Raw genomic sequence first — 18880 nt, 5'->3', positions numbered from 1 at the left:
TATTTTTGAATTAATCATGTTTATATGATCCCTGCCTTAGCCCATTTGGACTGCTCTAACAAAATGCCACAAATTGGGTAGCTTAAAAACAACAGAAATTTATTTCTCCGAGTCCTGGAGGCTGGGAAGATCAAGGGATCCATAGATTTGGTGTCTGACAAGGGCTCACTTCCTCAGAGATAGCTTTCTTCTCACTCTAACCATGGTGGAAAAAGTGAAGAGTCTCTTTCAGGCCTCTTTTAAAAGGGCACTAATCCCATTCATAAGGGCCCCACCATCATGCCTTAATCACCTCCAAAGGCTTACCTTGTAGTAGCATGATCTTGGGGGTTAGGTTTTCAACATGAATTTTGGGAGGACAGAAATATTCAGACCATAACAAACCCCAAAGCCTAGTGATAGCACTGAAAATAAATCTCAGTTGGGAATACTCAAGGATAGACAAATCATACAGACTATACATATCTAATCACAAATAACATTTACTTTAGATAATTTATATAAAGTATTTTTAAAGATTTGTCAATAGTGATATTTTCACAAAATACCATGTATTTTCTTCATATTTCAGCAACTGTAACATGAAGCTATTCATATAAAATAATGACAGTTTTAGATAAATGTATAACAAACTAAACACATAAATTGAGACACTTTTCTGATAAATTCTGGAAAAGCATCTTGTTTTTTCTCCTAAAAGTTCACATTGCCCCTTCTGATTTTAGCTATAGATCCAAATGCTCCATTCAATCTCACGTTTACATGGCTCTGGATCTTTTTAGGGTGGGCTTTTATTTATATGATTCTATTTAAATATGATGTCTTTATATTTCTCTTCTTTTGCTATTTTCTTTAAATATCTACTTTATTGAACTGTGACTCTTTAGAGACATTATGTAGCCCTTGACACTTAAAGTATGATTTACACCTTGTCAAAATGTCATCTACTTCTCATTAAAAAAAAATACTTGCAACCATTTTCAGTGTACTTTTAAGCCTTTTACAATTTTTTCCAATATCTTTGAAGATAAATTATTTCTCAGGACACATTGCTGAACTCTAACAACTATTTTTTTTCTGTCTATAGCTATTTTCTTAATTATATTTCAAACATCTCTAGGTATTTCGCATATTCTTAGGTCAGATTGTTCACCTATAAGACCACAGAGATAAACGTAGACATCACAGTATTAGTCGTCTGCTAATAGAGATGTCTGACAATTCTGAGCACGTTTCCCAGAGACTGTTAAAATTCTTTAAAATTGCATTTACATATAATACATAATATCTAAAGTATAGATTGTTAGCCTTTTAATTAACTGAAAAATTGCTAATCAGGCTCTAGAAATGAATAATTACTTATGTGTCCTGGACCTGCATGGGAAAATTTGAGAAGCATTTTTGTATTCAAGGAAGAAACAGTAACTACTGGAAGAGACAGAAAGAGCCCCTGCCATGTTTTGCCCATGAGCAAAGACATTAACTATAGAAAGAGAATTAGAAATGAACTGATACTTCACCCTTTTCAGAATTTTCTTTCTACATAGCAAAAACACTCCAGCTATGACATTGCTGCAGAGACAACATTTCTTATCTTTCGACTCAAACTGTCTCACTGTCAAGTTTTCTATCATGCTAGAGCCAGCATCTTCTCATTTATTCCCATGAAGGTAATCTCAGGATCACTGATGATGTTCTTAGTCTACTGCCAAATTGTGTCATTTCTGCCTTCACATCACCACTGAATCTGTTTCCATTTGATCTGACTGGAAATTCTCTGCAATGATGGTGGTTTATTCTCATTTTAATGTTACAATTTTTGAGTTAACCTTTCCTTGCTTATTCTAAAATAATGAGTTCCTTAACTTCCTTTCACTGAGAAGTGACATTTGAGCAAAGATTTAAAGAAGATGAGAATGTGAGCCATGGAGATACGTGGGCTAAGAGTGCTCTAGGAAGAGGAAGCAGACAATGCCAAGGCTGCAGGGTGTGTGTGCCAGGCATGTTCAAGGAAGAGCAAACAGAACAGAATTGCCGTGGCAGAGGGAACAGATAACAGTGGGGTAGGGCTTTAGGTGGGAGAAGTTAAGAACAGCCAGATTACATAGAATGTTATAGGTTAGAATTCCGGTCTCTTTATTATCGGTCTTTTCTATAAGCCCATAGGGAAATTAGAGATAAAGATTTAGAGAGACACAAAGATAAAAACAGAGATGCCAAGCTATACATTTATATTCTGTGTGCTGCATGTGTATAATTGCTTTAGTTAAAATTATATTGAAATTCAACAAACTTTTTAAGTGCTGTGATGGAAATAGATGCAGCAGACGTGGTCTTGGTCTTGAAAGATTTACAATTAAAAAAATCTGATTATAACTTAAAACATCAAAAAGAAATTTTAAAAGGTACAAGAATTTGTTATTAATAATACAAGGGAAGAAGAGCCATACTCCACATGTTAATCTATGAAGAAATTTCTGAAAAATGTTCATTATTTAACAAATATTTTTTAAGCATCCAGTATGTATTAGGCACTGTTCCAGGTGCCGAAAAACAGCAGCGGATTCAAATTTTTGTCTTGAGAATTTAAATTCTCGGGTGAGGTGAGGAGAACAGCAAATAAATAAATAAATAAGTACGTGTAAGAAATAAAGATAATAAAGTAACACAGCATGTAAAAAACGATCAATTCTATGCAAAAAGAGCAGGATGAGAGAGATCAGAAGTACTGTGAGGAGTGGGGCAGGCTGCAATTTAAAGTCGGGTAGTCGGGGTGAGCTTCATCAAGAAGAATATATTTTAGCAAAGACATGAAAGGGGGGAGGAAAAAGCAATAGTCAGTGCAAGCGCTTTGAGGTGGGATTGTGCCTGGTCGGTTTGAGAACAATGAAGAGCCCAGTGTTACTGGAAAAGATGAGCAGGGTGAAGAGATAGTGTTACAGGAGCAGATCATGAAGGTCTTTTCGGTCTCTAGGTTTCATTCTGAATGAAATAGGGAGCTAATGCAGGGTTTTGAGCAGGGGTAGCACTACCTGACTTAAGTTTAGAAAAGGATTTCTTGCTACTGTGTTGAAAATAGACTATAATAGGCCAAGAGTGGAGAACAGGCATACTAGTTAACGGGTTGTTTTAATAACCTAATACTCAATGGTGGTGACTCAGGCAGGAGTGATAACAGTGAAAGTAATATGAAATGGTTAGGTTATTGATATGTTTTGAAGGTTGAACTAAGAGGACTTCTTGATGAGTTGGATATGTGACATGAGAGACAGAAGGAAGTCAAGATGACTCCAAGATTTTGTCCTGAGAAACAGAAAAAAATTGAATTGTTAGAAGCTGGAATTGGGGAACTTGCTGGAAGAGCAGGTTTGGTGGTGGTGGTGGGATTAGAAGTTAAGTTTCAGACGAATTAACTGCAATGTCTATCAGACTCCATGTAGAGATTTTGAATAGATACACGCACATACAAGTCTGGAATTCAAAACAGAGATTTGAGCTGGAGATATAAATTTGGGTGGTGTTGGCACGCAGAGTATATTAAGCTATGAGAATGGATGAGATCATAAGGGAAAAGAGAAAAGACCCAAGAACTGAGTTATAGCTGTACCAAAAGGAAGGGAGACAGAGAATTCTTACATGCCTACTTCAGAGTTCAGCAGGAAGCCTTGTTCCAGTCCTGAAACCGCAATCTGTTCATTAGATAATTGAATTTTAAGCCAAGCACAGTGGTTCATGCCTGTAATCTCAGTTTTTTGGGAGGATGAGGTGAGAGGATTACATAAGGCCAGGGGTTCAAGACCAGCCTGGCCAATACAGCAAGACTTCATCTCTAAGAAAATTTAAAAAGTAGCCAGGTGTGGTGGCATACACCTATTGTTCCAGCTACTTAATAGTCTGAGGTGGGAGGATCGCATAAGCCCAGAAGTCTGAGGGTGCAGGGAGCTATGATCATGCCACTGCCCTCCAGCCTGGGCAATAGAGTGAGACCCTGTCTCTTAAAAAAAAGAATAGAATTTTAGGGCATGGAAGGCCAAAGCAGAACTAGGGAATTTTCTGGTAGAAACAGCATCATCCCAGATTGGTGGGAGATTTAGAGACATGTCATCTTTGTTGATGTACCTGTGTGGCACACTAGCTAAAAAAGATAGCCAGAGCTAAGGTATGGTCAAGCAGGAAGGCAAAGCACCAGATTATAACACAGCCTGAAAATCTGAGGCTCCATGTGATTTCAAAATGATGGCGTAGCCTCAGTCTGTTCCCCTCCGCCCAGTCCTCTACATGACTATGTATAAAACAGACACCCTAAAAACCTGCCTCATTCAAAAATCAAAAATAGAAAATCAAAACCACAATAAGCTACCAATTCACACTCATATGGATGGCTACTATAAAAATATAAAATGGAAAATAACAAGTCTTGGTGTGGATATGGAGAAGTTGAAACACTCTGCATTGCTGGTGGGAAGGAAAATGGTGCAGCCACTTTGGAAAAGAGTTTGGCGATTTCTCAAAAAGTTAAACATAGATTTACCATATGATGCAGCAATTCCACTTCTAGGCATAGACCCAAAAAATCGAAATCAGGGATTCAAACAGATACTTGTACACTAATGTTCACAGCAGCATGCAGTAAATTCCTATAATTTGATGTTGCCTCAGCATGCATTTTGAATATAGGTTTAACTTTCTCATACACCGAACAGGTCCCAGTTATCCTTGACAGAATTTCTAGCTCCCTGACCTCTCCTAGTTCCTTAAGGTGGTCAATCCAGATATCTGGTTTATACATCACCTCCTGATGATCATCTTCTTGGGACATATACTCGACTCTATTTGACTCATCTCACTGACCCCCATAATCTGCATAAATGCAGAAACTGCAGCTTGGCGTGCAGCGGCCACACCATGACACTGCGGAATGCATGCCTGCTTGCTTTAAACCCACCAACTGGAACTCCCAGCAGGAAATCTGCTTGGGTGACACTCTGTGCCCCAGTAAAGGTCTCAGTCCATAGGTCTGTCTCTGTCTGGCTCCCCACCTGCTGGTTGAGCTCATCATCCCTGTGACCTTTCCCTCAGCTCTTCTTGTACCCCTAATCACTCATGAACCTGTAAGTAATAAACCGCTTCTGTGTTATTTATTTTGCTGTGTTGCCTCCTATGTGTCTGACTGACTGACACACATAAGCCCAATTTTTCTCCCGATTGAGGTTCTTCTGGAGAGTGGCTATCTTGGCAGAAATAAACTCAGACAAGAGCCACGAAGGTGTCTTCCAGTACTAATACCTGATGAAAGGGATACCCGGTCACAGGCTGGACACTCAGGCAGCAGGCTGTCCACCAGGATAAAAGAGTATCTCCTGAAAGGCACACGGTAAACATCCATGACAATCCCAATACAGAGAAATACAACAAGCATTATTCACAACAGCCCAAAGGTGAAAACAACCTAAGTGTCCAGTGACGGATGAATCAACAAAATGTGGTATATATCTACAATAAAATATTATTAAGCCATATAAAGGAATGAACTTCAGATACATGCTACAAGATAGATAAAGCTTGAAAACACTATGGCAAATGAAATAAGCCATGGACAAAAGAATAAATGTTGTGTGATTCTGCTCATGTGAAGGCCCTGGAAAAGGCAATATCATAGAAACAAAGTATAACAGATGTTCAAAGGCTGGGGGAAGAGGGAATGGGAAGTTATCGTTTAATGAATACAGAGTTTTAGCTTGGGATGATGAAAAAGTTTTGGAAATCGATAATAGCCATGGCTGCACAACACTGTGAATGTGTTTAAAGCCACTGAATTTTGCATTTAAAATAGTTACACTGGTAAGTTTTATGTTATGTATATTTTACCATAATGAAAAAGAATGGTTATAATAAAGATGAATAAAAATCAGAGAACCACCATGGCAGACTCTTTGTTTAAATATTGGTGGGAAGGGGGCAGATAAGGAATGTTAACAAAAGGGACATTATCAAATAAAACAGATAAAGATTCAAGTAGGTAATTCTCATGGCCTCAAAGAAATTATACAAAACATGTTCCTTCTGACAAATAAACTCAAAGAAAAAGATACTAGAGAGTAAAGAAGAGATAAGAAAAACAAAGAAAGAGATAAAATGGCTCCAAGAAAGCAGGGATGTAGAGGAGAAAAATGAAAATAAAACAAAAACATTGGAGAGGTCACAGAAATATCAGAATTGACTCATGCAGGATAAACATAACTGAAATTGCTGTAAAGGTCATAGAATAAAGACTTGAGGAAACCACACAAAATAAAATGGGAAAGGACAAAGATATATAAATGTGATGTATCCATAACTTATGTATCACGAAGAAGAGGAGAAATATAACAGAAAAAAATAAAGATAATTTTTTTAAAATCTAGAAATAAAAGGGGTCTTAAATCTATATATTGAAAGGGAATATCATAATTGAAATAAAATGATAAAGAACAATAAATTCAGGCCGGGCGTGGTGGCTCATACCTGTAATCCCAGCACTATGAGAGGCCAAGGTGGGTGGATCAATTGAGGTCAGGTGTTCGAGACCAGCCTGGCCAACATGGTGAAACCTCATCTCTATTAAAAATACAAAAACTAGCCAGGTGAGGTGACAGGTGCCTGTAATCCCAGCTACTTGGGAGGCTGAGGCAGGAGAATTGTTGGAACCCGGGAGGCACAGGTTGCAGTGAGCAAGATCGCACCACTGCACTCCAGCCTGACTAAAAAATGACTTTTACTGGCATCTGGAAAGAAGTATCAGGTCACCTACAGGAGACAGAAATCAAGCTATCTTCAAGATCCAATAATATTCAGCCACTAGATACAAAGAAAGGATGAAAGGAACTGTATTTGAGTTCAATTTCTTAGCTGTCATAGCTGGAGTCAAGTGATACTATCTAAAGTTGAAACATATAGCTAAATAAAAAATAATTAGCCCAATCTTTTAAATGTATTACAATTTTTTTTAACTTTAGAAAGATCTTTTAGAACCAATAATGCTTATCGTAAAATACATTAATCTAAAAATCATCGATTATAAATCATGCTGCTATAAAGACACATGCACATGTATGTTTATTGCAGCACTACTCACAATAGCAAAGACTTGGAACCAACCCAAATGTCCATCAATGATAGATTGGATTAAGAAAAGTGGCACATATACACCATGGAAAACTATGCAGCCATAAAAAATGATGAATTCATGTCCTTTGTAGGGACATGGATGAAGCTGGAAATCATCATTCTCAGCAAACTATCGCAATGACAAAAAAACCAAACACTGCATGTTCTCACTCATAGGTGGGAACTGGACAATGAGAACACTTGGACACAGGAAGGGGAACATCACACACCGGGGGCCTGTCGTGGGGTGGGGGGAGGGAGGAGGGATAGCATTAGGAGATATACCTAATGTAAATGACGAGTTAATGGGTGCAGCACACCAACATGGCACATGTATATATACGTAACAAACCTGCACACTGTGCACATGTACCCTAGAACTTAAAGTATAATAAAAAAAAATTAAAAAGTGACAAAATTAGTAATATCTGGGTTTTGTTAAACTGATAAAGATCACAGTTAGTATCTTTTATAAAATCTCATAGCTTAATCCACCATCCATCCATTTCTTTCTCTTCTCTCTACACACACACACACACACACACACACACACACACGCATTATATATTTCATCTATTTCTATTTCTATATGTATCTACACATCTGTCTCATATAATTAAATGTACACAATGACTATTTCTGGATGATAATGACTTTGATCTTTTACCTTTTTCATTGTGTTCTTTAATTTTGTTCTACTTTGTAAATAACGAGAGATTATTATATTTCACTAAAGCAATAAGGTATTTTCAAGAGGCATTTTCTAATAGGTGTTTACTGTAGCAAAGATGATAACCTGTTGCTTTTCACTGACAAACTAAAGCCAAGATTCCAACTCTCAATTTTTTAAGGCTCTCTAAGTTTATTAAAACTCTTTCAACTAAAGGAAGATTATTGGTTAGTTCCTCATACATCACTGATTGGAGTAAGGCTCTTAACCATACATCCTAGAATATGCACACTGGGCAGCTTCCATGCCTTTACATGATGACAGCCACTCCCACCAATGATCAGACTTCTCTCTGATGGGTTGAGTACAGAAGAGGAGACAAGCCAAGTGGATAAATGGAACTACACAGAACTTCTGGGCATCTATGGCTATTTCTTTTATTTCTCTAACCTACACTATAGAAGAGAAAAAAGTGTCTTGGCATCCCATTCTTCAAGCTTCCTGAAAAGTCCAGATCTCTGATGTCTTTTGCTCTCTATATGAGCCAGTATTTCTGAAATCCTCCAACAGTTTGGGGATTAAAAGTCTAATATTCCCATACCTTCTGAGCTATGTTAACATAAAACGGCTATCCCCATACTATTGTGTTCCCAATAGTAATGTTATGTTCATAAGTATTTAACTTTATTTCCAATTTCGTTTTTTTTTCTCTTGTATCAATCCAAATGGCTCTAAAGGGCACCAAGTGAGATGGATTCTACGGATCAGCTTAAAAATCATAGTCTACTTGTAAAGTTGGGGGAACTTTCTGTTGTCTGTCATGGAAGTCAATCTGTCACAGAAGTGAACTGCTACCATTCTGCCCTAAAAAGAACCAGGGCTCTTTGGAGAAAACGCAGATTGCAGGGTTGAGGGAATGAAGTATAAAATGAGTTTGGAACATTCTGTTGCATTAGAACATAGGAAAGTGCTCAAAGAATGATGGGGTCATATCAAAAGGATACAGGAGCCAGCCTAAAGGGGTTCTTGCTGTCAAATCTAAAGTAATTTTAGCAATGAAAATAAACAATAATAGTAATGGATTAAAACTTGGCTGCTTTCGCTATATTCTCATTGTCTCATTCTCCCTCTCCACTTTCAACTCCCTCCTTTATATCCCTTCCTTTAAGCTGTAATCATGGGATCAAATTCTCTTGTTTTTCTTCTGCTTCAGGGCAATACCTATGCTCTGGATGGGTTTTTTCTACATCGCAAAAAAATGGAGTTAAAAAAAAGTCTTAAGTTTTAGTTTAAGGTTTTGGGGTGATCATTGAAGAAAACAATCTCTTAACTGACATAGGTTCTACACCACTAAAACCAACCTGATGTTAGGTTGGAACATAAAATTGCCTTTTTTATAGTTAAGATGATTGAATATCAGAAACTTCAGATGGCTCAATAACATGGTCCATCCAAGCTCCTCGGGAACTTACACATTTAGTCTTAGAACCAAACCCTGAGCCATTATGAATTGATTCCTGGTTTCAGTCATCCTCTGTGCCTTTTGTTTCCTAATGAAGAAGGATGACTGGTGAAGGGGTACAACATGGGCCTTCCCAGCCTCCCGTTTGATGTCATTTGAGTATCACATTCATATCCTCTGTGAGAAGTACTGCCATGCAAGGAAAAGAACAGCAGACCAGAAGATAAGAGAATGGATTTAATTCTTGGCTTTCTCATTATCCAGCTGAAAAAAAAGGTGGATGAATCTGAATCATAATCGCTCTCAGCCTCTCTTCTTGCATTTACAAAATAAAGAGGCTGGAGAAAGACTGAGTTGTATATGGTGTCCCTTCTAGTTCTAATACTTTTGCAATTCTTCTTATAAGACCGGGGTAGGGAGGAACAACCTGAACGTAAGTATTACTTACATATGCATTGGAGTCCTTTACAGGAAGACATATCTACCAACCAAATAAAGTAACTAAGGTTAGAGGGGAAAGAAAAAAAAAAAAAACCCTTATTAAATGAAACTGACGGTTTAGTCAAGGCAGAACAAACTTCTAGATTTTAAATTACAAAGAATGTGCTTTACTAATCCATAAAATGTCTTTTTAAATGTAATTTAGCAAAAAAATACACTTTAGTTTTTTCTTAAAATTCTCTTTTCTTTCTTTTATAAATTATACAAAGTTGCTAGGTGATTATGAATAGTGATCACTCGTTCACAAATGTACAGACTTCAAATCATGCGTCTCTTTTGAGAATCTGTAAGAAAACGTTTGAATGCTTCAGCTCTCTGCTACCCAATATAACAATGCTAAATTTAGTCAGATTTTGGTTTGTCCTCATCTGCACAATGATGATAATCTCTAATTTGGACTTTCCAATATAAGCATTGTTATGAAATCGTCTGTAGTCTAAGATTGCTTAGAAAAGGCAAAAATAACCTTAATTCTTGCAAATCTGAACAACAATATGCAGCATATAAAGAAGAAAAGGCTCATTGCATAACTCAGAAGAACAGTGAATATCCACAAAGCCTACTTCCATGGAGTTAGCTAGCCCTAAAAACAATTCTATTTTATTCAAGTATGCTTTTAAAAAAATTGTAACCTCCCAGTAGAACTTTCATGAACAATTCTAGTATAGCCCACACCAGGAACACAGAAAGTAGGTAAGGTATTTAACAAACAAGAAAGATATTAGTCACATTTATACCAACAAATTATTAGATTTTTTGGCTATATGTGGATACTAAGTCACCTTAATCACTTAATACAGGTCTTCCTTATAGCAAAATTCTAGGCAAAACTTATAAACTTGTTTCCATAAAACCAAATGAAGCCAGTGAGTCCAGTCCAACAACCAGGTTATTCTTCGCCTTTAATCTCCTTTTCCCCTGGTATTTTATGCTGCATCCAAATCTTTATTAAATAACATGGTCCTTTCTATCTTCAAAGCATAAGCCCTAAATTAAAAACCAAGGTACAGAGTTATTATCTCGAGCCATTACAAAAAGAATTTACGTTCTGAAAGATAAAATAGCTAGTTAAGCATGAAGTCAATAGGATGAGGTATCCTAATGTTTCTGTTGGGTGGAATTTTTTTGGTAAGCCTCCGTTTTTGTTTTTTTCCTTACAAGCATATTAGAATTATCATGAAGTACACAGTCTTTTTCTTTTAATGCGTCAGTTCTCTGTATCTGTTATCACCATAAGTACAGGTCAATCAGATATCTTTTAAAATTGAATCTCAGTCAAGGAAAGATTCCCTTGTAACTGCTTTTAACATTTAGTAACCTGACACTTGCAATTCTTTCAAATGTCATACTTTTCTAGAGTACTTCTATTTCAGAAGCTTTACAATTCTTCTACAGATTATAGGACTATGCTCATTAATACAACCATTTGTTTTGAATAAGTATGAATATTAGAAGTCAAAATGAACTGAACTTCTGCTAAGTCCCAAAAATAACATGAGAAAGTGTTTTTATTGCCTAACTGCAGATGCTAAATAAATATAAATAAGGGCCCTCATTCTTAGTCTTCCACAATCAAGCAGAGTCTTTGGAGGGTGCTTCAACAGGACAGTAGGCACTAGTTTAGGGTACATTTCTAAGTTCATCTAAGTATAACTTGTTCACTCATTCCGTGCCTATTTACTGTGCTTCTACTACGGTGACAGGCACTGGGCTAATTGCTGCAGATGCAGTGCCGAGCAAGACAGAAACATGCCCTACTCTCACAGAATTTAATATCTGTGCAAGAGAATGACATTATCAAATAATCAGACTTTTGAATGCGTAATTACAAATTGAAACAAGTGTTGTCAAGAAAGAGCAGGATTCCATGAGAAGTTATTGCAAGGAATCTGACTCAGATTAGGGGTCGAGGAAAGCATTTCTAAAAAACTGATACTTATCTAGAAATCTAGAAGATGACTATATGCTAATTAGCCTAAAGGATGGTAGGGTAGGGGTGAGGAAAAGGAAAAGAGGAAGAATCTTCAAAACCAAAATAATGTAGGTGAAGAGGTCCTATCACAAGGGGTATCTTAGTTTCCTATAGCCACTATAAATAGTGTCGTAAACTTAGTGGCTTTAAACAACATTGACTTATTATTTTACAGTTCCGGAGATCCTATGCCCAAAATGAGTCTTAAGGAACTAAAATCAAGGTGTTGCAGAGCTGCCTTCCTTGTAGAGGGTCAAGGGAAGAACTTATTTACTAGACTTTTCCAGCCTCTAGAGGCTGCCTGCATTCTTGGGCTTGCAACCTCCCTCATTTATCTTCAAAGTTGGCAATGCCAGCCAATCTTTTTCATCATGCCATCTATTTGGTTGTCTCTCTTCTGCTTCCCTCTTTTCACTTAGGATCCATGGTCACACCCAGATAATCCAGGATAATCTCCCCATCTCAAAGTTTTTAACATAATCATATCAGCAAAGTCCATTTTTCCATGTAAGGTAACATATTCAAACAGGTTCCAGAGATTAGGATTGTGGACATTGTTGGAGACCATTATTATGTCTATCATGAAAGAGATCATGTTTTATCTGAGAACTGAAATAAGGTCAGGGTGGTTGGAGAGTAGAAAGTGAGAAGAAAGGTAATATAAGATGAGGCTGGGGAGATGGGCAAAGACTATAAACACCTCTATGCAAATAAACTAGAAAACCTAGAAGAAATGGATAAATTCCTCGACACATACACTCTACTGAGACTAAACCAGAAAGAAGTTGAATCCCAGAATAGACTAATAACAGGCTCTGAAATTGAGGCAATATTAATAGCCTACCAACCAAAAAAAGTCCAGCACCAGATGGATTCACAGCCGAATTCTACCAGAGGTACAAGGAGGAGCTGGGACCATTCCTTCTGACACTATTCCAATCAACAGAAAAAGAGGGAATCCTCCCTAACTCATTTTATGAGGCCAGCATCATCCTGATACCAAAGCTGGGCAGAGACACAACAAAAAAAGAGAATTTTAGACCAATATCCCTGATGAACATCAATGCAAAAATCCTCAATAAAATACTGGCGAACCGAATCCAGCAGCACATCAAAAAGCTTATCCACCATGATCAAGTGGGCTTCATCCCTGGGATGCAAGGCTGGTTCAATATACGCAAATCAATAAATGTAATCCAGCATATAAACAGAACTAAAGACAAAAACCACATGATTATCTCAATAGATGCAGAAAAGGCCTTTGACAAAATTCAACAACCGTTCATGCTAAAAACTCTCAATAAATTAGGTATTGATGGGACGTATCTCAAAATAATAAGAGCTATCTATGACAAACCCACAGCCAATGTCATACTGAATGGGCAAAAACTGGAAGCATTCCCTTTGAAAATTGGCACAAGACAGGGATGCCCTCTCTCACCACTCCTATTCAACATAGTGTTGGAAGTTCTGGCCAGGGCAATCAGGCAGGAGAAGGAAATAAAGGGTATTCAATTAGGAAAAGAGGAAGTCAAATTGTCCCTGTTTCCAGATGACATGATTGTATATTTAGAAAACTCCAGTGTCTCAGCCCAAAATCTCCGTAAGCTGATAAGCAACTTCAGCAAAGTCTCAGGATACAAAATCAATGTGCAAAAATCACAAGCATTCTTGTACACCAATAACAAACAGCCAAATCATGAGTGAACTCCCATTCACAATGCTTCAAATAGAATAAAATACCTAGGAATCCAACTTACAAGGGATGTGAAGGACCTCTTCAAGGAGAACTACAAACCGCTGCTCAAGGAAATAAAAGAGGACACAAACAAATGGAAGAACATTCCATGCTCATGGGTAGGAAGAGTCAATATCGTGAAAATGGCCATACTGCCCAAGGCAAATTATAGATTCAATGCCATCCCCATCCAGCTACCAATGACTTTCTTCACAGAAATGGAAAAAACTATTTTAAAGTTCATATGGAACCAAAAAAGAGCCCACATTGCCAAGTCCATCCTAAGCTGAAAGAACAAAGCTGGAGGCATCACACTACCTGACTTCAAACTATACTACAAGGCTACAGTAACCAAAACAGCATGGTACTGGTACCAAAACAGAGATATAGACCAATGGAACAGAACAGAGCCCTCAGAAATAATACCACACATCTACAACCATCTGATCTTTGACAAACCTGACAAAAACAAGAAATGGGGAAAGGATTCCCTATTTAATAAATGGTGCTGGGAAAACTGGCTAGCCATATGTAGAAAGCTGAAACTGGATCCCTTCCTTACACCTTATACAAAAATTAATTCAAAATGGATTAAAGACTTAAATGTTAGACCTAAAACCATAAAAACCCTAGAAGAAAACCTAGGCAATACCATTCAGGACATAGGCATGGGCAAGGACTTCATGTCTACAACACCAAAAGCAATGGCAACAAAAGCCAAAATTGACAAATGGGATCTAATTAAACTAAAGGGCTTCTGCACAGCAAAAGAAACTACCATCAGAGTGAACAGGCAACCTACAAAATGGGAGAAAATTTTCGCAACCTACTCATCTGACAAAGGGCTAATATCCAGAATCTACAAAGAATACGAACAAATGTACAAGAAAAAAACAAACAACCCCATCAAAAAGTGGGCGAAGGATATGAACAGACACTTCTCAAAAGAAGATATTTATGCAGCCAACAGACACATGAAAAAATGCTCACCATCACTGGCCATCAGAGAAATGCAAATCAAAACCACAATGAGATACCATCTCACACCAGTTAGAATGGTGATCATTAAAAAGTCAGGAAACAACAGGTGCTGGAAAGGATATGGAGAAATAGGAACACTTTTATACTATTGGTGGGACTGTAAACTAGTTCAACCATTGTGGAAGACAGTGTGGCGATTCCTCAAGGATCTAGAACTAGAAATACCATTTGACCCAGCAATCCCATATTACTGGGTATATACCCAAAGGAATATAAATCATGCAGCTATAAAGACACATGCACACGTATATTTATTGTGGCACTATTCACAATAGCAAAGACTTGGAACCGACCCAAATATCTATCAATGATAGACTGGGATTAAGAAAATGTGGCACATATACACCATGGAATACTATGCAGCCATAAAAAAGGATGAGTTCATGTCCTTCACAGGGGCATGGATGAAGCTGGAAACCATCATTCTCAGCAAACTATCACAAGGACAAAAAACCAAACACCACATGTTCTCACTCACAGGTGGGAATTGAACAATGAGAACAGTTGGACACAGGGGAGGGAACATCACACACCGGGGCCTGTCATGGGGTGGGGGGAGGGGCAAGGGATAGCATTAGGAGATATACCTAATATAAATGACAAGTTAATGGGTGCAGCACACCAACATGGCACATGTATACATATGTAACAATCCTGCACATTGTGCATATGTACCCTAGAACTTAAAGTATAATAATAATTAAAAAAAAGAAGACATCAAAGAGGTGACAGCCTAGATTTGACATTTTTAAATCCCTCTGGCTACTGGGTGGAAAATTGATTTTAAAATAGCAGAGGTTCAAAAAAAAGATTATAGTAGCAACAGATATTCAGATAATTAAAAATTTTCATCAGGTTACTGAGGTCATTTCAGATATTTCATTCTTTATTAGGTGATCTGATGACTTTGGTTAAATATCTGCCCTAGGGTTCTGTGGGAAAGATTAAATGTTAAGATGCATGACACTCCATTTATACAGGAAGTGTACCAACAATAAACACTCAGTCTTTATACTGCTGCATTGCTTCTGTTACTAATTATTATGCATAACTCTATGCTAGAAAATTAGAAAACTTAATATGGATGACTTTATGAAAAAATTAATACTGATTGTCTTAGTCTGTTTGTGCTGCTATAACAACAAAATACCTGAGACTGGGTAATTTACAAAGAATACAAATTTATTTCTCACAGTGTTGGAGGCTGAAAAATGCAAGATCAAAGTGTCAGCATCCGGTTTCTGGTGAAGGCCTTCTTGCTGGGTGGAAGGGAGAAGAACAAAAAGGGCCAAACTCCCTCCACCGAGCTCTTTTACATGTTAAGGGCATTCACCCATACATGAGGGCTCTAAACACCTCCGAAAATACCCCACTTCTCAACAACATTGCATTGGAGATTAAGTTTCTAACACATACATTTTGGAGTACATGGTCAGATCACAGCACTGATTATATGTAAATATATCTCTATTTTAAGAATAAATAGAAAAATTAATTCGAGACCTGAATAAAGAACACTCGATCTACATATTGAGTGCAGGAAAAGGATTAGAAAATGATGTTATACAGGGGCAGTGTCCAAATTACATTAAGCCTTAGTGGCCACAGGAAGGATGTTGGCTTTTACTCTAAGTAAATTGGGGAATCTTTGGGGAGTTTTGGGAAGAGGAGTGACATAGTCAGTCTAATTTTCATGTTAAAACTGGCTGACATTTTCAAAATAGATTCTAGGCGGCTAGCATGGAAGAAGAAAGGCTAGTAAGAGAACATGGCAACAATCCAGGAGGGGTGGATCACAGTTTAGACCAGGTGGTAGCAGTGAATGTTGGGGGGGGCTCATTAGATTCTTGCTGCATCTTTTTTTTTTTTTTTTTTTTTTTTTTGAGATGGAGTCTCGCTCTGTTGCCCAGGCTGGAATGCAGTGGCACAATCTCGGCTCACTGCAACCTCCACCTCCCAGGTTCACACCATTCTCCTACCTCAGCCTCCCAAGTAGCTGGGACTACAGGTGCCTGCCACTGCGCCTGGCTAATTTTTTGTATTTTCAGTAGAGATGGGGTTTCACCGTGTTAGACAGGATGGTCTCGATCTCCTGACCTCATGATCCACCCACTTGGCCTCCCAAAGTGCTGGGATTACAGGTGTGAGCCACCAGGCCCGGCCGATTCTTGCTGTATTTTAAAAGGTTTTCTAATATGAGAGAAAGAGTGGTATCAATAATGAGTCCTAGGCTTTTGGCCTGAGTAACTAGAAGGATAGAGCTGCCATCAGTGGACACTGGAAGGCTGAATCTGAGGGAGAGATCAGTGCCTCTGTTGAAAATATGATAGGGAATTTTGCTGGACATGCAAATGGAGTGGTTGCCTAAGCAGCTGAATATGAGTTGGGAGCTCAGGAGAAAGGTTTGGGCTGGAGATATAAATTCAGCAGTCATTGGCATATAAATAGTACTTAAACTTTGAGGCTAGATGAGATCACCAAGAGAGAGTGTACATTAAGAAAAGCTACAAGAACTCAGTCCTGAGGCATTCAAGTATGAAGAAGTGGGAGTTAAAATGAAGAATCAACAAAGCAGGCTGAGATGGAGCAGGGAGTGAAGTAAGACAAAAACCAAAAAGAATCTGATGTCCCGGCAGCCGTACCTTTCCTTCTCTTACACCTACTCACCTTTCAGGTCTCTGCCAAGGGATATTTTATTCCCTAAACTTGATTAGGTATCTCTCCTAAGTGCCTCCACAGCATCCTGTCTTTACTGCTTTCTTAGTGTTTGTCACATTGTATTATCATTGTTTGCATTAACTCATCTCTTCCTCTACACTGTAAGCTTCTTGAAAGGAGAAATCAAGTTTGTCTTGCTGATAGAGTATTCCCAGAAATTAGCACAGTGCTTGGCACACAATAACCACTGAACGTAAGTTGGCTGAGTTGAACTTGTAAAGTCAGTACTTATCTTCTGGTTTCAGACATGTTACTGGTATGCTAGCGTCCACTATGATTACCTAAGCCACTAGCACCATACATACATTTATTTCATCATGCTTATTTTACTATGTAACAATTTCAATTTTTCCAACATTAATTGGTGTGTCTCATGGTTCTGATTCAGGTAGAGGAGAAGGAAGAAGGAAAGCGATACTTACTTGTATATATTACGCATACATACCAACTTTGCCTTTCATATGCAGTCACACTTAAGCATTTAACCTTCCTCACAAATTTGGGAAGAAAAGTATAATTAGCTCCATTTTATAAGAAAAAACAAGGTTTAGGAATGTTAGGTAACTTGTCTAAGGTCATTCAAATGGTAAAAACCAGGATTTAAATACCTGTAAAGAATTTGCGTTAGAGTAGGCAGATAGCCAGACATGAGCAGGAGTGGGGAGCCCCTGAAAAAGGGAAGTCCAAAAAATTTCGCACCCCAGAAGTTGCATGATAGATATGAGCAGAGAGAGGGGAAATACCTATGCAGAAAGGAACGCCCCCAAACACTCCTTAAGATGCCCAATGATCACTCATTCTGCAGTTAACCTGTCAGAATGTAGCTAGCTACATGCTGAGAAGAGGGAAAGAGGGCAAAGGAGAAATTCCTAAGAGATACGCAGGTGCAATAAGTACAGATTTAACCACGATACGACCTTCCTGGGATGGTGGTACGGAGCAATGCTGCCATTAGGCAGAATTCATATCTAATGCTAGGCAGCACATGTACATCAACAGACAGCAAGGGAGAATTCTACAAACCTGGGGCGGGAACTGGGTGGGGACTTGAGGCAGAAGCGGGAAACTAGTCAGAGACAAAGGCAGAGACTTGAGACACAGACAGGAACTTAAAGGGTCTGACATAATAAAATCAGCAATGCAGAACTGTTAGAGCTGCTGGCTCATCCTCTTTCAAGCAGCCCGCTTTGCCCCATCTTTCCAAGTGTACTGTTCTCTGCTACTACTTTCCACCCAGACCAGCCCACTCTTCTCTTGACGTGTACTTTGAGGACCAAGCTCCGATTTTTATCTTGCCCAAATTCCTATCTAAGGGGTCTGGGGAGTCATGCCCTACAAACCATAAATTCTCATTAGATAGGTTTTATTTAACCCTCTATCTCATGAGTTACTTTCCAATCTGACTCTGGCGTAACAGTATGTGACAAAGAAGAAAATCATAATATTTTTACCCTAGAACATGTTTCTGTGCCATATTTTGAAATGGTCCTGCAAAGTCGTCCTTTGTGGGGGCAAATTTTCATCTGTAAGAGTCTCTATTAACATAGCTAGATGTTTTTCTTCCAGGCCCTCCCAATCCTGAAGATACTGAGTGGCTAGCACCTTTTAATAGTCCGAATAGGAGACATCTGT

General features: G+C 38.2%; 1 protein-coding gene across 3 annotated transcripts in view; it reads right to left on the bottom strand.

Annotated features, from left to right (window-relative positions):
• GPR158 (G protein-coupled receptor 158) overlaps positions 1-18880 on the bottom strand; it is a 427229-nt gene that overhangs the window by 116033 nt on the left and 292316 nt on the right. The gene's annotated exons all lie outside the window — the stretch shown is intronic.

This window comes from Homo sapiens, chromosome 10 (genome assembly GCF_000001405.40).
Source record: "Homo sapiens chromosome 10, GRCh38.p14 Primary Assembly".
Taxonomy (NCBI): Eukaryota; Metazoa; Chordata; class Mammalia; order Primates; family Hominidae; genus Homo; species Homo sapiens.
The sequence above is the reverse complement of the archived record's forward strand: the minus strand, read 5'-3'. Positions and strand labels throughout refer to the sequence as shown.